Raw genomic sequence first — 21,244 nt, 5'->3', positions numbered from 1 at the left:
CTGCTGACACCTTGACTTGGGCTCACTGAGACCCTGGACAGAGGGTCAGTGGAGCCCACCCAGACGCCTGACTTAAGGAGCAGGTGAACTAATCAAGAGGTACTTCAGGCCATGGCACTGGGGGTCACGTGTGATACTAGCAAACAGAAAACACACAGTCAAAGCCTCAAGCGAGAGTATGGTCTAGTTTGGGGGTAAGAGAAGCCTTCCTGAAGAAATGGCATTTGGGGTAAGACCAAGAGGAAGAAGAGAAATGAACTTGGCAAAGTAGGGAGGCAGAGAGAAAAAAGCGGGCCAGGGCCCTGGGCAGGAAGAAACCCACTGTGAGCAAGGGAGGGAGAGAAGTCCAGTGCGAGGCACTATTGCACGCTACCAGCCTCAGCTTCCTTGCCTGTGAAATGGGATTATAACAGCATGCCCTCATTGGGAGAATGAAGTGGGCTGGGAAATCGTACAGCAAAGTAGCTAGAGTTCCACAGTCAGGGTTCAAACCCTAGGTCTTCTGGTTACTGCTTGAGTGACCTTGGACAGGCTGTTTTCCCTACCCGAGCCTCCATTTCCCGCGAGCCTGCTGTGAGTCTTAGATAAGACTGTATCCGCAGCATCCTCAATAAATGTGGACTGTTGTTTTTGTTAGGGGAATAAGGCCCAGAGACAGCAAGAGACCTGGTGGCTGAGCCAGGTGAAAAATAAGTCTCTTGTCTCCGGCCTCAACTCTGTGCAGCCTCTCAATCTGCAGGGCCAGGGTCAACTGAGGAAAGCAAAATTCAAGCCAGGTGAGTTGCGGCCCAGGGTGGCTCAGGAGAGGGGTGTGTGTGTGTGTGCATGTGTGGGTGTGCTGGAGTGGCATGTGCATGTGTGTGTGAGTGTGTGAGATTGCAAGAAGCAGCATGCATGTAGAAGTGTGGCTGGGCATAGTGGCTTACGCCTGAAATCCTAGGACTTTGGGAGGCCAAGGTGGGAGGATCACTAGAGGCCAGATGTTCGAGACCAGCCTGGCAACATAGTGAGATGAGATCCCATCTCTAAAAAAAAACAAAAGTAGTGTGTGAGTGTGTCTGTGAATGTACACAGGTAAGTGTGCATGGGTGTGAAAAGTGGGTGAGTGACTGAGGTATGTGGACCCTCCCCAGAGTTACACCTGGAAGGCTCCCGAAAAGGCCTGGCCGCTCACTCGCAGGAGTCGGTTTAGCTCCCTGAAGGGCAGCTGCCAGCCAGGCCGAGGATAAGGAGCAGGTTTAGCTGGCTGATGCTGGACCAAATTAAATGTTAAAACAACATCCAGGCCTGTGGACGTGTGCACTTAAAGCTGTGCCTGCTGCTCTGGATGATCTAGCTGATTCTTGGTGGCCACGTCTGATGTTTCTGCTGAGATTTAGACACCCTGTCCCTACCCCTGCCACCTCCCAGGGTGAAACACCCACCCGGGAGTTCAGGGCCCTGCCACCCAAGAACAGAAACCATGGGGTAAACCCCACCTCAAGGAGACGCCTCACCCTTGGAGGAGACGATGGCGCCCCGCACCTGTCATGACTGCCCCATGGCAGAGGTCCCCTCCCTAATCCAACCAGACCTCGGTTAAAAACTTCATAGCTGTATATCCTAGGACAAGCAGCTCATCCTTCCAGATCGCCATTGCCTCCCTTCCTGGGCTCCCTAAATGCTTTCATCAGATTGCTGCAAGAGGATGAAATGCTTGTAAAGACCTGACCTACAGCCGGGCGCAGTTGCTCACACCAGTAATCCCAACACTTCGGGAGGCAGAGGTGGGCAGAAGGCTTGAGCCTAGGAATTCAAAACCAGCCTGGATAATAAGGTGAAACCCCATCTCAAAAAAAAAATTAGCTGGGTGTGGTGGTGCATGCCTGTAGTCCCAGCTACTTGGGAGGCTGAGGTGGGAGGATGGCTTGAGCCTAGGAGGTCCAGGCTGCAGTGAGAGGTGATCTTGCCACTGCACTCCAGCCTGGTCAATGAGCAAGACCCTGTCTCAAAAAAAAAGAAAGAAAGACCTGCCCTGGGGCCAGCATTTAGTAACCCCTCAATATAAGTGAGCTATTAAGGAGGCTTGGATGTTATTATTAGCAACTAGAATATGAGACAGCCTGAGATTAAGCTCCCCACCCAGCCTAGTGGGATAAGGATCCAATCACAATTCTGTTGATAGTAAGAACAATAAACCAATGCCATATTTATTATCTGGATTGTGACCTGAAGTTCTTACCTTATTACAGGGACATAGACCTGAACTGGTGTGTGTTGCTGTCATTATAACTGTTGGCTCCTTGGCAGCAAGGACTGTGTTGTCTTTTAGTACCACTCTGTCCTCTACACTTAATACGGCACCTGGCACACAGTAGGTGCTTGATGTTGTTGAATGAAAGAGCGAAGACACCTGAATGGCCTGAAGGACAGAAAGACAGCAGTCAGTGTGTCCTGATGCCTGATAAACTTTGATCCTGCTTAACTGGGACTTACTGTTTCTATCACTGAAGCAGAGGGTGAAAGAAATATTTACCAAAAGGCTCCCAGTCCTGGTGGGTTTCTTGCAACTACAGATTGCCTTTTTAGACAGCATTTCTCCAGAGAGCAGCTGACCTCCTAGGTCGTGTTTCACAGGGATAGTGGGGTAGGGGGTGACAAGAAGTAAGCCTCCTCTCAAGGAATCAACACTTACTCTGCATGAGGCACTATGCTGGCGACTTTACATACCTCACCTTATTTAGTTCTCACAACAATTTATAGCTTTTATTTAGGTGCAGTCACCCCTGCCTGCCAGACCCATGTGCATATCTGATTGTTCCCCTACCCCATTTTGTCTGTGTTATCTTATGTAAAATGCAGATTCCCCCATCTTTCCTTTATCCCTTTTGTTTATGTGAAAACTGTGTGTTTCTCAATATCCCACCCTTTCTCCTTTAAATTTGGAGCCCCCAAAATCATCTTCAGAGAAAGACATAGACCTGTCTCCCAGGTGCGTCCTTAACTTTGGCAAATAAATCTCCAAAAATGATTGAGACTTGTCTCATCGTTTTCTCCGATTGACAAGCCAAACCATTCACATGTTACAAATGAGGAAACTGAGGCTCAGAGAGGTATATAGGTACCCAGTGTGGTACACAGATTTGTATAAAATGACCTAAATTCATCCTTCCTTGTATCCACGCCCTTTGCAAAATGGTTTTGCAGCTCTTCCCATCAAAAGGCAGAGGTGGTTTCCAAACTCTTGAGTCAGGTTGGTCTTGTGACTTGCTTTGGCCAACAGAATTGCTGGAAGTGATACCGTGCCAAATCTAAGACCCCAAACTGCCTTGCAGGTTTCTTCTCTCTCTCTCTCAGACCCCTGTCTCCATCAGGAGAACGGTCTGCTGGAGAATGAGAGACCAGTTGTTCCCATCACCCTAGATGATAGTCAGAGCTTCCTGCAGACCTGGCAGCTGACTGCAAAAATGCATGAGGGATGCCAGCCCACACCAGAACCATCCAACTGATGGTTCAGGCTAAATTGTCAACTCATAGAATCATGTTTTAAGCAACTAGGTTTTGGGACGATTTGTTACATAGCAGTAGCTAACTGATACACTCACAGTCACACAACTGTTAAAGGCTGAGTCAGGACTCAAGGCAGGAGTCGGGTTTGTGGGACTCCAGAATCCATGCTCTCAACCTCTGTATTTTGCTGCCTCCCAGAAGGAAAATGAGGATAACAGGGCTCTAGCTGCTAAAGAGCCCTTCTCTTGTGTCCCAACATTCAGCTACATCTTCTAGGGAACGTGCCTAATCCCTGGCTCTCTCCTGCCCTGGCACCTCCTTTCATCCCCTGAGCCGTGCTCTTTCATCTCCTACCCTTACAAGGGTCTGGGTGGGGACAAAGCACTGGCTGCCACTTCAGGTTTCCCTGAGCCCCTACTTTGATCCGCTCCAACCCTGCTCGTTTTCAAGGTTTGTTCAGAATGCTGGCAAGAGCCAATGTTTCTACACGTACCTATCAGCAGCCATGATGAAAACCAGCTGTGAGGTTTAAAAATAGCCCCCAAGGGCTGCCAAAAATGCCAGGTCCCTGACTCGGAGAGGAGAAGCCAATCCCAAGGTGCGGCCACCATCATCAGGGAAGAGTCATAGCCACCACATGCCCAGGAGTCTTCCATGCCAGTCCCACAGGACTTGCCACAGGAGCTCAGCTGAGCCCGAGTCCCTAGGAGCAAAAGCCCCCGGAGAAGCGGGGATGGAGTTCGAGACCAGCCTGGTCGACATGGTGAAACCCCATCTCTACTGAAACTACGAAAATGAGCTGAGTAGTCCCAGCTACTCAGGAGGCTGAGGCAGGAGAATTGCTTGAACCCGGGAGGCAGAGGTTGCAGTGAGCCGAGATCGTGCCACTGCACTCCAGCCTGGGCAACAGAGCGAGACTCTGTCTCAAAGAAGGAGGAGGAGGAGAAGGAGGAGGAGGAGGAGGAGGAAGAGGAGGAGGAGGAGGAGGGAGGGGAAAATAAGGCAGGGCCCAGAAAGCCTCCCAGGGGCCTCTTCCCCCTCCTGCTTCCCACACCTCCTGCTGCCCCTCCCTCCTCCCCCCTTCCATCATTCTCTCCCCTTCCCTCTTTTTTTATTGCGTCCGAAGGGAAGAGACTGGGCTGTGGAGGGAGACTGCCTAGATCCCCCTCGGGAATTCTGTGATCCTAGGCAAGTGACGTCACCCTTGAGCCTCAGTTTCCTCATCTGTCACACGGAGGTCTGGCTTGCTGGGTGTCCTAAGGACCTACTAGGACGATGAGTCGGTGAGAGCACGATGCCGTCATTTCTTCTTTGGAGAAGGATGGGGATGAGGAGAGTGCCCTCCTCTCTTCTCCCTCTTTCTCCCTCCTTCCTGCCCTCCATCCTCTTTCCGCTCCCACACGCCCCTGGCCTGGCCCCCATGTGACGGCCCCCAGGGCCAGGGATCTGCCAAGCTGAGTCTACCTGCAGTGCAGCCCTGTTGCCCTGGGGCGCCCTGGGCCTGGCTCGCTGAGGGAGCCCAGACCAGGCCCGCTGCACCACCCCATCAGCTCCCACATCAGCCCTGTGCTGGGTGTTTGGCTCACAGCTATATCCCAGTGCCTACAATGCTGCATGGCACCTAGTAGGTGCTTAACAAATATTTGCTGAGTGACCGCAGGAACCAGCAGTAATTGTTCCCATTGACAAATGAGAAACTGAGGCTCCAAGAAGTTGGCTAGCTTATAGCAGAGCACAGCCCTTAAAGCTTGAGGGGACCCACATAAACAAAAGGGATAAAGGAAGGATGGGGGAATCTGCATTTTACATAAGATAACACAGACAAAATGGGGTAGGGGAACAATCAGATATGCATTTGTGTTTGGCAGGCCGGTCCTACCCAAGGTCCCAGAGGCGGATTTGAACCCAGTTTTGCTGGTGAATGACACCCCATTTTCTCATCTCTTCTAGCCGGCTTTCCCCTTACAGGCCAAAGCCTGTCACACAGGCGCTGTGTGGCCTTAGGTGATTCACACACCCTCTCTGAGCCTTGGTTCCTGCATTTGTAAAACAGAAAACTGACCTAGCTGCACTCAGGCACAATTTCCCTGGGCTCATTTTTCCTCTGTTCTCAGCATCCAGCACAGGCTGTGGCGTGAGGTCCACACCAAATAAATCTCTGTTAGTTAATTAATGAAAAGGACAAGTTTACTTTAGAGTATAAAAGTCTGCTCCGAAGCTCTCCAGTTACCGTCTCTGGGAGCATATTCTTTCTCTCTTCCATTTCAAAGAAAGAGAAACTGCAAAGGCACAAGATACACTGGAGATGTGGGTTATGCAAGGAAGATGAGGGGACCACCCCAAGCAGCAGAGCACCCCACCCCACTCAGAAAGACCTTTTTCCTCCATCAAAAAATAGGTGAATGAATGGGAAATGCCAGTCTTTCCATTGAAATGCAATCTTGAGGGACGAGTATTTCACAGGCCATGGACCGGCCTTGGTGCTGACTTTGACGCACACCAGCTCCTGGTCCTGAGCGTGTCAGCGGGGAAATGCCCTGCTTCTCCAGCTTTGCAGGATGGTTGTTCACGGCTTCTAGGACAGCGCTGTTCCAGGCTCTGGGAGACCCCGATGAGCAGCCGAACCCTGTCTATCCCTGAGGGAGCGGATGTCATGTGGGGCATCCGGAAGGTTCTGAGCAATTCTGCTTGGAATCTCAGAGGTTCCAACAGAACAGCTGCAAGTTACCAGTTGACACGTTCAAGCACCTGGATGGGTGGTCAGTTTCTGTAGATCCCAGAGAACTTTCTGGAAAGGTGGCAGTGTGTGCCCCTAGGGCAAGAGTCAAAGGTGGTAGCCACCCAGGGAGCCCCAAGGAGAGGTTCTGGCGCTCTCAGGACATCCAGGCCACACCAGTCTTCCAGGCACCCCCCCCGCCCCACCTCCAGGCACACCAGCTCTGCCCAGGTTGCCCAACCTGTATGTGTCCGGGTCATGGCCATCGTCACCCACAGCGTCACAGGCGTCCTGGCCAGCACCTGCCTCCTGCTAAAACGCTAAAAACAGCTGCATTACCTTGCCGGCCTCCAGTCCCTGAGAACAAACTCACCTGGCTTAAATAGAGTGGCTGGAAGAGCACTTTCATTAGGGGCCGCACATTCTGACATAGGGCTCCTGGCTGCTCCCCAGGTTGGGGGCTGGGGGGTGTCACTTTTATAAACTTCCACAGACCCTTCTTGCCAAGCCTACTGGACAACAGAGGCTATGATGAATCCAGGCTGACCGGCAGGTCCTGGCACCACTCACCTCAGAGTCTAAGGCCAGGCTGGAGTGACCAGGCTGGAGTGGTCAGGCCCCGCCCACCTGAGCTGCAGAGGGGCAGAGGGGACAGGGCCGGCTGCATGGGGTGTGACCTGTGCAGTCGCAGAGGGACCCTCACACTCAGAAGGGCCGCCTGTTGGTTTAATGCTCTGCTGTTGTCGTCTTAAAAGTCTTCGTCGTTTTTGAACGTTTGGAGGGGGGGCCACATTTTTACTTTGCACTGAATGCCTCTGAGGGACTCATAAGTGGGCCCCATCCCCCCAGGAGTCCCAGAACTCATGAAGGGGCTTCAGAAATGAGCAGCAGCAGAACCACAGACATCCCCAGGCCGGGGCCACCCTCTCGAGTATCCCGCGCCCTGGCTGTTGGGCTGCACGGTCACGTTCCCATGGTTGTGCTAATAGGGGTTGGGAGGGACATGCGTACACACACAGCCATGCAGTCACATGTGCAATAGCTGGTCACCCCACGCCTGCACTTCCAGCACTGGGAGTGGCTGGGAGGCCTCACCATGCCCCCATCACACCTAAGATAATGAGACAGCAGGGAGGGCAGGAGGAGCTGAGGAGGGGGTGTCAGGGACAGAAAGAGAGCCCTTGCCTCCCCCATCTCCGAGGAAAGGAGAGATCCCTCCCTCGCCCTGCTGTCAATCTTCCAGGAACTCCCTGCAGGGCCCTGAGAGGTGTGCATCTTGTCCCCTTGAACTCCCGCTGCCACCCTGAGATAGCGTTTGTATCACACCCATTTTAAGGATAGCAAAACTGAGGCTCCAAGAGCCAAAGCTGCTGGCTGGAACCAAGGCGAGCAGACACAGGAGCCTCATGCCCCGTAGTGGCTCCTAAGGGAGGACCTGCCCCCTGCCCCTCCCCCTGCCCATTCCTCTGCCCACACTGGCTCATGGTCATGGGGGTCTTCCCTCCTCAACCAGCACGCATGCGCCTTCCTCATCATAGCCACAGTTGGAGGGCAGGTCACTGCCCAAGGGCCCTCAGTGTGCTCCTGAGCCCGGGCCCGCTTCCCAAACCGCTTGGCCAGCCTTGCCCTTTGGCCCCAAAGACCAGGCACCAGGAAGGGGCTGACTGGTGGGACAAGCAACATCCAAATCGGAACACCCTGGGGGATGCAGGAGTGGGAGCGGGGTCCTGGGGGAGGGACAGGTCATTTCTTGGCCTGGCTCGGGGCTCCCGTTGCAGCAGCGGGAGTCCTAGGAATGTTTCTCCACCTTGCCTTCCCTCAAGGTTCCCAATGGAAATTTGCCAGAGGTTCCTCATGGCAGCGCGTCTGGCAGGGGATCCGGGACCGTCTACCCAGGCTTCTTAGGGTGGAGCTCTCCCTTGAGTCGAGGGGACCACAGTCTGCAGAGTCTTTGCTGGGCAGGCAGGGCAGTGCGGGAGGAGGAGACAGGCAGGCCTGCTACTGCTGGCCCAGCTGCCGCCGTCTGAGCCTGGCCAAGCCCAGCTGCCCAGGCCTTATTTGGTAAGAGCCTGTGCTGGCCTGGCCGCTCCAGCTGCCAGCTGATGGGACACCCAGAGCCCCGCGCAGGCCTGTGCGCATGCCAGGCCTCTCACCCGGCCCCTTGGCCAGAGATGGCCGATTTGGAGGCGGGAGATCCCGGGGTCAGGCCAAGGCTGTGGCAGCTTCCATCAGATCCCAGCCCAGGGTGGGACAGGGATTCCCCGGCTTTTGACTATATAAGGCCGAGGAGAGGCAGCGCCGCTGAGCAGGCCTGCAGGCCCCGGAGATATCGTCTTAAGAGGGTGTTTGGCATTGGGAGCGAGGCCTTGGATTCCTGCAAAAACCTGGCAGGGAAATTGTTTGACAGCTTTGACAATGTGCTGAAGTCTCCCGAGGGGAACCCGCCCCCCCGGAGACGGCTGGCCAAGGGCATGTGACGCTTCAGCTGCCTCCAGGCTGAGAGTTCGGGCAGCCAGGCCAGACCTGTGGCCTGAGGAGAGGCCAGCCGTGGGCAGTGGTGCCCGGGAGAAGGCAGTGGGGGTGGCCCCAAGCTTGGCTTCCTGGTCTGTGTGGAGCGTGGAGCAGCACCCACCGCCCATGGGGTCCTCAGGCCTCAGGGAGGAAACAGTGGGGAGGAGTGCCCCCAGGGTGCCATCAGGGGAGCTGCCAGGCCCCGAGTCCTGCTGCTGGCCAAGTGCACTGAACAGACTTCATCTCTGTCCCCTCATTCATGCCTCACAGAGACCAAGGACTCAGATGCTCCTCTCATGCCTGCTGACAGATGAGGAAATCGAGGCTCAGAGGAGGAAAGAGATTTAAGACACTGGGCTCTTTCTCCAGCCCATTGGGACCTCCACAGGTCAATATTCATTTATTCTTCCACTCCACGACCACATCCTGAGCTTTGATCTGGGTGGGGCACCATACCAGGCCCAGGGCAGCCACTCAACCGGCCAAGAGATGACTGTTCCCCAAGGAGACAGATATTCCTTCAAATAAGAGGGACAAAGAAGGCCTCTCTGTGTAGTGACCTTGAAGCTGAGGCCCAAAGATGAGAGGGGGAAGAGCATGGTGCTCCAGGCAGAGGAAACAGCGTGTGCAAAGGCCCTGGGGTAGGGCGAGGCCTGGCCCAATCTCAGGCAGCCAGGAGGCCCACAGGGCTGGAGCAGAGTGAGCAGTGGAGTTGGGGAGATTCGGTCTGAGATCGCAGGTGCTTCCAGGGTCTGTGGGGTGTCACATTTTATTCTGAGCAGCGGGAAGCTGGGTTTGAAGCCGGAGACCTAATAATGTGATCCCCCATGAATCACATGTCTGCATCTGCTAAGTGCTCTATGCTCATTTCCTCACCCAGTTCCCCATCCCTCATCCCTGTGAGGCGGGGAATCTCTAGCATCAGTTTACCAAAATGGAAACTAAGGCTCCCAGAATCAGTGATGTGGGAGGGGGACAGGGATCCTCCCTCGGTTCTGTCTGGTGCTGGAGGGGCAGCACATTGTCCCGGGTGGCTGATCCTGGCCCTGACTCCCTGCTGTCCCTTCTACTGCCCCACCCCCATCCCGCTCAGGTTTTCTGCTGCCATGGTGACCAACTCACCCAGCTTTGCCCGGGACCTTCCCAGTTTTAGAACTGAAAGTCAGGCTTCCCAGGAAAGCCCTCAATTCTGGGCAAACTAGTTGCTGGCCAGCACCACCAGGAGCTCAGGGAGAGAAGAGAGGACAGCCAGGTGCCCTCCCCACCACCCGCCTGGCCCCATGCCACCTCTGCCCACACCAGGCGGGGCCATGGAGAGGAAGGCAAATAGCAACTAGTGCCCAGTGTGCGGCCTGGCCCCACCTCCTGCCAGTGCCTGGGCAACACCTTCTGCTAGGGGGTAAGCAGGACAAAGGCAGGGCCGAGCTGGGGGTGCAGGGCAGAGGGGTCGGGGGTGGGAGGGTGGGGGAGTGGGGTGGCACGGCAGAGGGGTCAGGGGGATGGGGGGTGGGAGGGGCAGTGCAGGAGGAGGGGGGGTGGGAGGGCAGGGCAGGGGGGCTGAAGGGGCATGGCAGAGGGGTCAGGGGGTAGGAGGGTGGGGGTGTGGGGGCGCAGGGCACAGGGGTCGGGGGTGGGGGGCAGGACAGAGGGGTCAGGGGGTTAGGGAGGTGGGGGGGTGTGGGGCAGGGCAGGAGGCTGGGGGGTTAGGAGAGCAGGGCAGGGGGGCGGGAGGTGGGCAGAGGGCAGCTAGGGAAGCCGGAGGAGCGCAGGAGCAGGCCCAGGTACTGGCCACACCAGGAGAGCTCTTCCTCCAGCAGGAGACTCACATAGGCCTGCCTTTGAACCCACAGGCTCTGTGACATTGAACATCTTCTGGTTGCTTCTTGGTTGCCCCCCCTATAATATGGGAGAGCAACAATAGCCAGCAATAGCCAGGAAGCTGCTGGGTGCCAGACTCTGTTAAGAGCTGTGCTTATGACCGCCTCCTGGAATGCACAGGCACCCTTAAGAGGAAAGGCTTGTTTCTCTGTGCAGACAAGGAGCAAATCCCAGAGAGATGGAGACTGCCCTGGGTCACACAGCTGGTCACCGTAGAGCAAGAATTTGAGCCTAGAACCACCAGCTTCGGCTCCCAGCCCAGCAGGAGAGGCAGGGCTCTGCAGGGCGGAGTGCACCAGCTCTGGGGCCAGCTCCCCAAGGGCTCAACTCTAGGCTGCATCAGCTAGAGGTCCCTGTGTCCCCAGCAAGTTGCCGAACCTTTCTGGGCCTGTTTCACAACTAGAAAGCAGGGCTAACAGGGGTACCCACGTCGTAGGGTTGGCCATTTACTCCACAAATACTTATTAGGCATCTACACGGTGCCAGACACGGTTGTAGATCTTGAAGATACAGCAGAGAACAAAACAGACAAAAATTCCCACCTAGAATGTATATTCTGAGTGTAGGGGATGCCAACAAAAAAATGAATATCTGTCAGTGGGAGGCACATAGATTTTGTTTTTTTTTTTTTGAGATGGAATCTCGCTCTGTTGCCCAGACTGGAGTGCTGTGGCATGATCTCGACTCACTGAAACCTCCACCTCCCGGGTTCCTGCCTCAGCCTCCCGAGAAGCTAGGATTACAGGCACCTGCCATCACGCATGGCTAATTATTGTATTTTAGTAGAGATGGGGTTTCACTGTGTTGGCCATGCTGGTCTAAATTTCCTGACCTCAAGTGATCCACGCGCTCCTCGACCCAAAGTGCTGGGATTACAGGCGCGAGCCACCGCGCCCAGCCGGCACATGATATTTATGTTTCCTTGTCACACTTACTCTTGGCTGCACTCTCAAAAGCTGTTTCTTATTTCTTCCTTTGCTACCAAAATAGCAGTTCTGTTGGGCCAGCCACATGCCTAGCCCTAGGGATGAATCAGGACTGGCCTAATCATAGGCATCCCACTGCCCTCTGCCCGAGACTTGCCTTTCAGCCTCCTTGCAGCTGGCGGCAGCCATGTGACCCAGTTTTAGCCACTGAGATGCAAGCCCTCTCCCTGCTGTCCTGCTGGTGCAGCTGCTGTGATGTCAGGAGCCTCTGAGCAGCCGCAGCCACTTCGTGACCATGAAGCAACTGAAAGACACCACACTGAGGGTGACCGAGCAGAAATGTGGAAGGAACCTGGGTCCTTCAGGGAAGTGGAGCTGGGCTTCTATGCTCTGCAGCCATTGTTCATCCGCCCGAAAATGAACCCCTGGGCGACAGGGACAGGGAAACACTCCTCCCGTCAGGCCAGGCTCCTTGAAGGAGAGAGTTGTTAGGATGTCCCTCCACCAGGGATTCTGACTCAACTGGCAGGCGGTTAGGCCGGGGCATCTCCTAAGAGCCCCTCAGGTGACTCTGATGGGCAGCCTCGGTGCACTGGGCAGATGAAGGAAGATGCAAGCGGGGTTGAGTGGGGAAGTGGAGACTCCACAATCAGGACAGGCCAACCCTGTCCCATGAGGAAAGCCTCAAAGCAAGATGGGATGGGAGGGGTCTGCGGTGGACCTGCTGGGTGCTTCTTGAGCTTGATCAGTGAAGAAGGAGAAGGAGGAACAAGGAGAGAAAGAGGGAGAAGCAGAGGGGAGGGCAAAGATCCCAGAGACTCAAGAATCTGCCACCCAGGCCCTGGCGACTAAAACAAGGCCAGGATGAGGAGAGGCTGGTAAGACCCACACCATCCGGAGTGACCTTGCCAGGGGCTAAGGAGGGCCCTTGCCCAGGGTTCCCAAACTTCATGCATTCTGAGGCTCCCTCTGTGACCTTGACCATCTCATCTGGTCTACCATTTGTTTCATACTTTTCTTTAAAATGACTCAGATTTTTTTCTTTTTTTTTTTACTTAAATGTTTATTTTAGCCCTTTGGGAGGCCGAGGCCTATGGATCACTTGAGGTTAGGAGTTCGAGACCAGCCTGGTCAACATGGTGAAACCCCATCTCTACCAAAAATACAAAAATTAGCTTGGCATGGTGGCACATGCCTGTAGTCCCAACTACTTGGGAGGCTGAGGCTGGAGGATCACTTGAACCCAGGAGGTGGAGGTTGCAGTGAACCAAGACTGCACCACTGTACCCCAACCTGGGGGACAGAGTGAGACCCTGTCTCAAAAAAGTAAATACAATAAATAAATAAATGTCTATTTTAAAAGGAAATTCTGTTGCACCAATGTAAATGGAAAACCAGTATCACTTGCTTTGCAGATGACTCTGAAAATAAGCACAGTGGCCATCAGTCGTGTTTAGTATTGACCAGGATTTCAGATGCTGTCACAGTGTGTTCGTAAACTGCCACCTGCACACGCCAGGAGCCTGGGGCCTGCTCTCTCAGATGGAGCGGGGGGTAAGCAGGAGTTGGCCAGTATTAAAGACACATGAGCCCCCAGCTCAGCCGAGAAGAAGAGAACAATCATTGGAGACAAACAGCTATTCCCCTGGACACTGTGCCTACCACACAGGGCACCCAGTGGACTGCGATGGCCAGAGTCCCATTTCTGGCACACTCATCCAGGCCAGCCAGAGTTGGGGAGACTGGACCCCAAGAGCAGAGGTCACATCAACACCCACACCAGCCTCAGGCACGTCCCCTTGTCCCCTTGTCCTCTCCGCACAGGCAAGAGATCCCCAACCTCTGCCCTGTGCCAAGAGCATGTCCGAAATTTCACAACTACCTTTATGTGGCAGGTGCCTGGAGCTGGAGCTATCCTTCCAGCACCTACAACCACGAGGCCCCCGGGCGTCTTCCCAGAGGGAAACACTGGGTTTAAGGGCATCAGTTCAACTGTTCAACTCCCATGAAGGCAGCGTGAATGGTCTGACTCCGCTCCTGGGCAAGCACAAGAGTATGTGCCAATCGGGTGTGTGGGCTGGCCTGGCCACCAACACAGGTCTCTGGGGACGGTGGCTTGCCCGCATTCCAGAACCACAGGCTGGGGCATGCCTGCCGGGCGGCCGGCTCTCTTACCGCCAGGCAGAAGGGGACAGAAGCCCTTTGTCTTCCCGTCACATCCCAGAGTTGGCACATCCCCAGGAGCTGCGGTCACCTCCTCTTTCGCAGACAAGGTTGCCTCATGTTGCTAAGAAACAGCTTGGAGGGAGGGGAACCCAAGCTCCAGGTGGCGCTGAGGTGCCTCAGCTCTGAGCCCCTGAGCGGCTGTGGAGGGAGGGCTGGCCTCTGTTGTGTCCCCTGCTTATTGTAAAATGGGAGGTTCATAAACCACAACTCACAGAGCAGTGGAAAGGATCAAAGAGCTAATGCGTGTCCGGCACCTCGCGTAGTGTGAGCGCTCCACAAGTGTGAGCAAGGGACGTCTGGGTTGTTTTCTTTTTTCCACCTCTCAGTTTAAATAAGGTTGCTGTGAACGCTTTTCCTGCTGAGGGTTATTTCCTCAGATGCAGAACCCCGCCTCAAGATAATATTCGAGGTCGGGGGGTCAGGCAGCTGCGTGGGGCTTTTTCCATGCAGACAGAAGCATCTTCAAAATCGGAATCTGTTTACAGCAAAGGGATGTGTTATTTTCCCCGCATCCTTTGCAGCACTGGGCTTGTTTTATCGATTTTTTTTTCTCATTCGATCAGCAAGGCTGTGCATTCCTCCGTGTACTGTTTAACTGTCTGTATTTCCTGAGGGATTCATGGTTTGTTCACTGCCTTTGATTGTTTTTCAGGTGGTGTCTGGGACAGTGCCTGGTGCTGTCAGCTGGAGCTGGCAGGCCCACATTGGAAGCATCTTCTAAGTAGGAAGGGGAGACAAGGGCTTGAAGCTGGGGGAGATGGGGAAAGCCTCCCGCCCCATCCACGCCATTCCTGCCTTCCCCTCGTCCTGGGTATTTTGGAGCCTGCCAGCTGAGGAGTGCTCTCCCAGGGTTGGGACTGCAGGCGCCTGACAAACTGAAGAGCACTGAAGCTGGAGATGCAAAGAAGAGGGAGCATTGACTATGTTCTTGGAGCAACGAGCAAGTCAGTGAGGCACGCGTGTGACAGGTGCCTTTCCTGAACCCAGCAATCCTCCTCCCCTTTCCCTGGCTCTCCTGGGAACTCCTAATGAAGTCAGAATAAGCCACTCCATCAATTTATGATCCCCAGATGACTGTGTCCCTTTGCTCCTTAATCACTCAGGTACCCAGATTCTCTATTAGCAAGAAGCCCAGAACCCCCTTCTCGAGTCCTCTCTCGTTTTCAATCTTCCAAGGACACCGAAGTCTTCCTTAACCCACTGCTGGGGGTTGACTGCCGAAGGTCACTGATGCCGGGGCATCTTGCCACCACATGGGGGCACTGCCAAAGATGTGTGCAGAATAGTCCTGCAGACACTGCGCTCGGCAGCGGAGCTCATGCTAGGCGAACCCTTGCCTGGGTGTTGGAGGTCACCCACACTTGAGACTTGAGTTTACAGCTCTCATGGGTCACTCTTAAATACTCAGAGCAGAATGCCAAGTGACTCCTCATCCATGCTCCATGCACCCTGGATCCCAGAACGGGGCACATCACTTTCCTCCACCACTGTCGCCCTGCTCGCCACCACCTCCTCCCGCTAGGCCGGGCTTTCTCAACCGCCACCCCTTTGACATTTGGGGCCAGATCTTTCTCCGCTGTGGGGACATGGCAGGATGCTTGGCAGCACCCCTGGCCTCTGCCTATCAGGTGCCTGTAGCACACCACCACTATGACAAGAAAAAATGTCTCTAGACATTGCCCAACATCCCCTGAGGAGCAGAATGGCCCCAGTGGAGAGCCAGTGCCCTAGACTATTGGGGTACCACCCCTCCACGCTGGCCTGGACCCCCTCTACACTGGCCTAGACCCTCTCAACACTGGCCTGAACCCCCTTCATGCTGGCCTGGACCCCCTCCAACTGGCCTGGACTCCCTCCCCTGGCCCCTTGCCTCCCTTTCTTGACATCACAGTAGGGGTGAGCTTTAAAAAAACCACACAGCTCGTGATGCATGTCACGCTAGGTTCAAAAGCGCTGGGTGGTTTCTCTTGGTATTTGAGATCCACACCTCTGCCTTAGTGCCCGGGCCCTGCAGGGCCTGACCTCACCCCTGTCTCCAGCTTGACTGGCTCCCACACCAGGCACAAGAGCCCTGGCTGTGACATCAGCACGCTCTGTCCTCTCTGCCTTAAGCCCTGTTCAGTCTGTCGCTGCATTCCAGGCCCTTCCACACCCCAGGGGCCTGCAGAGGCCCTGGGACCCCGCCCCTGGTGTTGCCCACTCTACTACGCCTCTTGGTCCATCTGCCTGATTTATGCCTTCATTACCTTTCCTTAGTTATATCCGGTTTCTGTTTTATTAGTTTATTTTTATTGTATTTACTTCTGTCATTCCCATTAGACTGTCAGCTCCGTGAAGGCAGGGGCCTGTCTTGTTCCCTGCCGTATCCCCAGAGTCTAGAACGGCACCTGGGTTGTGGGAGGCACCCAGAAAACACCAGGTCCCTGAAGGAATGAATGAAATGGGAGTGGGCTTCTCTTGTCCTGGAAATGGGCCTTGTCCCCCACATGGCTGTGGAGCTGCAGAGGGGGAGGCTGGAACTACTGTCCTATGGGCCCCTGTGGGCTCAAGAATCCTGCACTCAGCCTAGGACCTGCAGGCTTCGTGTCTCTGGCTCTTGGGAAACAGGTGGAAACTTCCTTCCCGAGAGCCGGAAGCAGCCGCAGGCCCCGCCACACCCAGCCCTGGCCCAGCTCAAGGCGAGGCCCTGGGTCTAAATATAGAAAGTGGGTTGTGAGAGGGCGGGTTTCTTCTCTGGTGAGAGGAAGTGGCTGCTCTGATTAAAACCGGGGTTTGTTCACCCCTCATTGAGACAGTCCTCCCCACCAGCCAGGAAGAAAGGAAATGTGGCAAAATGAACCCAGCCAATGGGGCCTTCCAAAAAGGCCCGGAGAAAGCACCCGGGGGGCAGATGGTCTCTTGTTCCTCCCTGGGGAATGGCTGGGAACCCTGCAGTGAGACACAGGGGCTGCGTGTCCCTGAGCCAACTCTAGCCGCTCTGGGTCTCAGTTTGAAAAAAAAGGGATTGGCCAGATTTGATTTTCAAAGCTGATGTTACCTGGTATTGCCTGAATCAGGAGCTCTCTGAGTCTCAGTTTCCCTATCTGCAGAATGGGTTGATGATGACCATGCCTGTAACAGAACGGCTAGTAGGATTCAAGGAGGCAGTGTGTGTGGCTGGCCTAGGGCAGAGCTGGCACATGACCAGGGCTCCGAAGGTGCTCGCTGTTGTCAGATGTCCACATGAAGTTTGACAAAATGAACGCAGAGCCCCTTGTTGAAACATTACCAGGAATTTCAAGATGGGCTGGGCGCAGTGGCTCATGCCTATAATCCCAGCACTTTAGGAGGCCGAGGCAGGCGGATCGCTTGAGGTCAGGAGTTCAAGACCAGCCTGACCAACATGGTGAGACCCTGTCTCTACTAAAAATACAAAAATTAGCCAGGAATGTGGTGCACGCCTGTAATCCCAGCTACTCAGGAGGCTGAGACAGGAGAATCACTTGAACCTGGGAGGCGGAGTTTGCAGTGAGTGGAGATCATGCCCATGGGTGACAGAGTGAGAACTCTGTCTCAGAAAAAAAAAAAGAAAGAAGAATTTCAAGATGGTAACAGCAGAGCAGGAAACCCTGAGCAGGGCCCTTCCGAGCCCTGCGTGACTGTCCTGGCTTCTGAGCCCTGAGTGACTGTCCTGGCTTCTGAGCCCTGCGTGACTGTCCTGGATCATGCATCCTGATAGGATGATTTCTATCAGAGGAGCCTCGGGGAGCCTACAGAGCAGTGCACAGCCCCCAAGCCCACCCCCAGCCCAGGCCCACGCTTCCCCCACCCCCGACCCGCTGCCCTGCTGCAGTTCCACGGATGGCCCGTTTGAAGAAGGTGATGAAAGTAGTAAAAAGGTGATGATGCCCAAATGCCAGTCCTCGGGGGACGGGTGTGACAGGGCTGAGCCCTGGGGTGGGTGGGGGCTGCTCTTCCAAGAATGGGCCTCACCTATACCCCTCCTCCCTGGACCTCAACATGTCATCAGTGGAAAACACAAAATCGAAGCACTGTGCACAGCGCAGATCATTCTCATGTGAGCTGTTTCACTGGTGCACACAAAACTATGGTCCTGCAAATTGCTGTAATCATAAATAGGCAGGTGAGGCCAGGCGCCGTGGCTTATGCCTGTAATCCCACTCAAGCCCTGAGCTTGACCCTGGCAAGCCAGGACCACCATCTCCAGAAAGAAAGAAAAGGTGCAAAGAGAGTAAGTGCAGAGAGTTCCCATACGCCCTTCACCCAGCTTCTTTCCTATTAGCATTTTACAAAACCACAGGACAATCAGCAACACTAAGGCATTCACATTGATGCAATAATTTTTTTTTTTTTTTTGAGACCAAGTCTTGCTTTGTCACCCAGGCTGGAGTGCAGTGGTGCAATCTCATCTCACTGCAGCCTTCACCTCCCAGGTTCAAGTGATTCTCCTGCCTCAGCTTCCCGAGTAGCTGGGATTACAGGCACGTGCCACCACGCCTGCCTAATTTTTTGTATTTTCAGTAGAGACGGGGTGTTACTATGTTGGCCAGGCTGATCTTGAACTCCTGGCTTCAGATGATCCACCTGCCTCGGCCTCCCAAAGTGCTGGGATTACAGGCGTGAGCCACTGTGCCCGGCCGATGCAATAATATGAATCAGACCATAGGTCACGTTCAGGACTCACAGCTTCTTCCTGATGTCCACTTTCTGCTCCAGGATCTCACGTCACACTGCAACCACCCAGGGGCCTTTCCCTGGGCTTTCTTTGTCTTTTGTGACCTTGACATAGTGAAGAGTATTACGTATTTTGCAAAGTGTGCCTCAGTTCGGGTTTGCCTGATGTCCTCTTGTGTTTTAAAATAGTATGTAATTCATATTCCACAAAATTTGCTCTTTTAAGTTTGTAAATTAGGCCAGGCACAGTGGCTTATGCCAGCTCTTTGGGAGGCTGAGGCAGGAGGATCACTTGAGCCCAGGAGTTTGAGACCAGCCTGGGTGACATAGGGAGACCCCGTCTCGAGAAAAAAAAAACGTTTTTAAAAAATTAGCCAGGCGGCCGGGCGCGGTGGCTCATGCCTGTAATCCCAGCACTTTGGGAGGCTGAGGCAGGTGGATCACGAGGTCAGGAGTTCGAGACTAGCCTGGCCAACATAGTGAAACCCCATCTCTACTAAAAATACAAAAAATTAGCCGGGCATGGTGGCATGTGCCTGCAGTCCCAGCTACTTGGGAGGCTGAGGCAGGAGAAACGCTTGAACCCAGGAGGCAGAGGTTGTGGTGAGCTGAGATTGCACCATTGCATTCCAGCCTGGGCAACAAAGCCAGACTCCAACTCAAAAAAAAATTAGCCAGGCATGGTGGTGAGTGTCTGTGGTCACCAGCTACTTGGGAGGCTGAGGGATAGCTTGAACGCAGGAGTTTGAGGCTGCAGCAAGCCATGATCACACCACTGCACTCCAGCCTGGGCAACGGAGCAAGACCCCATCTCTAAAACAAATCAATCAACAAAAGTACACAATTTAGTGGGTTTTAGTGTGTATGCAAAGTTGTGCAACTGTCACCATGATCTAACTCCATAACATTTCCGTCACCCCAGAAGGAGACCCTGTCCCCAGGCCCCTCTCTGTTCACCTCAGTGTCACTCTCTCTCCTGCCTGTCTCCCTCATTCTCTCTTGCCTGCATTTCTGCTTTTCTTTCATGTTCTGTTGGAGTGACTGCCTCTGAGTCACGCTGACTACTCCACCTTTGCCTCTCTCCGTCCGACTCCCTCCACTTCTCACTTCTCGTTCTGTGTCACTGTTGCTCATCCAGCACACAGCTATTGGTCACTTTTATTCATCCAGGGCACAGCTATTGGTCACTTATATTCATCCATAGCACAGCTACTGGTCACTTATATTCATCCATAGCACAGCTACTGGTCACTTATATTCATCCAGAGCACAGCTATTGGTCACTTTTATTCATCCAGTGCGTAGCTATTGGTCAATTTTATTCAACCAGAGCACAGCTATTGGTCACTCGCTCACCCAGCACACAGCTATTGGTCACTTGTTCATCCAGTACACAGCTATTGGTCACTTATATTCATCCAGTGCACAGCTATTGGTCACTTATATTCATCCAGCACACAGCTATTGGTCACTTATATTCATCCAATGCACAGCTCTTGGTCACTTATATTCACCTAGTGCGCAGCTATTGGTCACTTTTATTCATCCAGAGCACAGCTATTGCATGCCCAGGGTAAGCACGGATGGCCTTGGAAGGGACAGCCGGTGCTCACAGCACAGTTTCTAGAGTAGAATGACATGAGTTCAAGCCCCAGTTCTACTGAGTATAGCTGAGTAGCTGAGCGGCCATGGGTACGTCACTCACCCTCTCTGAGCCTCAGTTTCCTCCTCTGTAAAGCAGGCTGCCGTGAAAGCTAACAGAGAGAATGTCTGCCAAGTGCTGAGTTCCCACCTGACATGCAGAGCGCTCCTTGCCCAGCGTTGGGTTTATCACCCCGACGATGGTTGCTCTCCTGGCTGGTGGGGAGAGCTGCCCAGGCCAGGAGGATCCCAGGCAGGCTGGGGACCGGGGCATCCTTCCCCAGCGACACAGTTTAGGCGGCTGGGGGTGGGGCAAGGCAGCACGTTCAGCAGCTGGATCCTGGCCTGTGTCCTTGAGTCACCGAGGGTAGCACCAGGCTGGTGCCCAACGGCACGACTGTGCCTCATTTGTGATGCAAATGGCTGGCAGTGGCCACGGATGGGCGAGGGCACAGCATCCTCAGCCAGGACCCCGGGAGCTTTTATTCTGAGCAGAGCTCAGGGAGAGGAGGAGGGGGAGGCTGCCTCCCCAACCAGCCCCAAGGGATCTTTCTGAGTGGGGCAGGGGGCAGCAGGGACCCCGAAGCAGGAGTGACACATTCCTGGCAGCCGACAGGGAGGGCTGGGGCCACTGGAATGAATAGGAAAACGTTGGCTGGCAGAGGGCTCAGTCCTGCTGGAACCCAAGGGTCATCTCGCCAGGCTTGCCCTCTGGACTCCTGAGAGACCAAGGCCACATTATGTCATACCTGGCACTTCCTGGTCCGGCCTGTTGGGCCTCCAGCCTCTCCTGGATCCCCTGCCAAGCTGCAGTCACACAGAACTCTCCCGGCTCTTTGCCACCTCGAAGCTTTTCCGCGGCTGTTCCCCCTGCCTGGAAGAAGGTTCCTGTCATCAGCGCCAGTCTTTCTTTCAGTGTTAGCTCACATGGGGTTCACCCTGAGGCTGTCCAAGTTTTAGCTTAGGGGAAAGGCCCTGGCCCTAATTCTGTACATGTAACTGTATCTCTTTTTCTTAAAGATTGTGTCCAAAATTGACATAATTTCAGGCTTTGAAAAACCTGAGCCTGGGCCAGGCGCAGTGGCTCACGCCTATAATCCCAGCACTTTGGGGAGGCCGAGGCGGGTGGATCACTTGAGGTCAGGAGTTTGAGACTAGCCTCGCCAACATGGAGAAATCTTGC

At 54.3% G+C, this 21,244-nt stretch overlaps 1 long non-coding RNA gene across 1 annotated transcript, besides 8 other annotated features; it reads left to right on the top strand.

Moving 5' to 3' along the window:
* Positions 5,311 to 9,894: an enhancer, noted in NCBI's record as "VISTA enhancer hs1971". NCBI's record gives its function as "enhancer in: heart[10/10]" and the evidence as "EXISTENCE:transgenic organism evidence [ECO:0001131][PMID:17130149]".
* Positions 7,500 to 8,359: an enhancer, noted in NCBI's record as "H3K27ac-H3K4me1 hESC enhancer chr20:56016245-56017104 (GRCh37/hg19 assembly coordinates)". NCBI's record gives its function as "activates a minimal SCP1, AML or CMV promoter by ChIP-STARR-seq in naive H9 embryonic stem cells {active_cell/tissue: H9 hESC(naive)}" and the evidence as "EXISTENCE:reporter gene assay evidence [ECO:0000049][PMID:30033119]".
* Positions 9,394 to 9,893: an enhancer, noted in NCBI's record as "H3K4me1 hESC enhancer chr20:56014711-56015210 (GRCh37/hg19 assembly coordinates)". NCBI's record gives its function as "activates a minimal SCP1, AML or CMV promoter by ChIP-STARR-seq in naive H9 embryonic stem cells {active_cell/tissue: H9 hESC(naive)}" and the evidence as "EXISTENCE:reporter gene assay evidence [ECO:0000049][PMID:30033119]".
* Positions 9,894 to 10,395: an enhancer, noted in NCBI's record as "H3K4me1 hESC enhancer chr20:56014209-56014710 (GRCh37/hg19 assembly coordinates)". NCBI's record gives its function as "activates a minimal SCP1, AML or CMV promoter by ChIP-STARR-seq in naive H9 embryonic stem cells {active_cell/tissue: H9 hESC(naive)}" and the evidence as "EXISTENCE:reporter gene assay evidence [ECO:0000049][PMID:30033119]".
* On the top strand, positions 9,902 to 14,887 carry LOC124904939 (uncharacterized). Its single transcript, XR_007067672.1, has 2 exons — positions 9,902 to 10,115; positions 14,399 to 14,887. It is a non-coding gene; the product is annotated as an uncharacterized LOC124904939 (long non-coding RNA).
* Positions 11,762 to 11,993: a silencer, noted in NCBI's record as "fragment chr20:56012611-56012842 (GRCh37/hg19 assembly coordinates)". NCBI's record gives its function as "represses an EF-1alpha promoter that drives an FKBP-Casp9 reporter gene in an ReSE screen in K562 erythroleukemia cells {active_cell/tissue: K562}" and the evidence as "EXISTENCE:reporter gene assay evidence [ECO:0000049][PMID:32094911]".
* Positions 13,624 to 13,683: an enhancer, noted in NCBI's record as "active region_18155". NCBI's record gives its function as "activates an Ori minimal core promoter by ATAC-STARR-seq in GM12878 lymphoblastoid cells {active_cell/tissue: GM12878}" and the evidence as "EXISTENCE:reporter gene assay evidence [ECO:0000049][PMID:35858748]".
* Positions 15,817 to 15,896: an enhancer, noted in NCBI's record as "active region_18154". NCBI's record gives its function as "activates an Ori minimal core promoter by ATAC-STARR-seq in GM12878 lymphoblastoid cells {active_cell/tissue: GM12878}" and the evidence as "EXISTENCE:reporter gene assay evidence [ECO:0000049][PMID:35858748]".
* Positions 16,758 to 16,807: an enhancer, noted in NCBI's record as "active region_18153". NCBI's record gives its function as "activates an Ori minimal core promoter by ATAC-STARR-seq in GM12878 lymphoblastoid cells {active_cell/tissue: GM12878}" and the evidence as "EXISTENCE:reporter gene assay evidence [ECO:0000049][PMID:35858748]".

Source organism: Homo sapiens, chromosome 20 (assembly GCF_000001405.40).
Source record: "Homo sapiens chromosome 20, GRCh38.p14 Primary Assembly".
NCBI classification, from domain to species: domain Eukaryota; kingdom Metazoa; phylum Chordata; class Mammalia; order Primates; family Hominidae; genus Homo; species Homo sapiens.
Note: the sequence above shows the minus strand (reverse complement) of the source record. Positions and strands in the feature narration are given on the sequence as shown.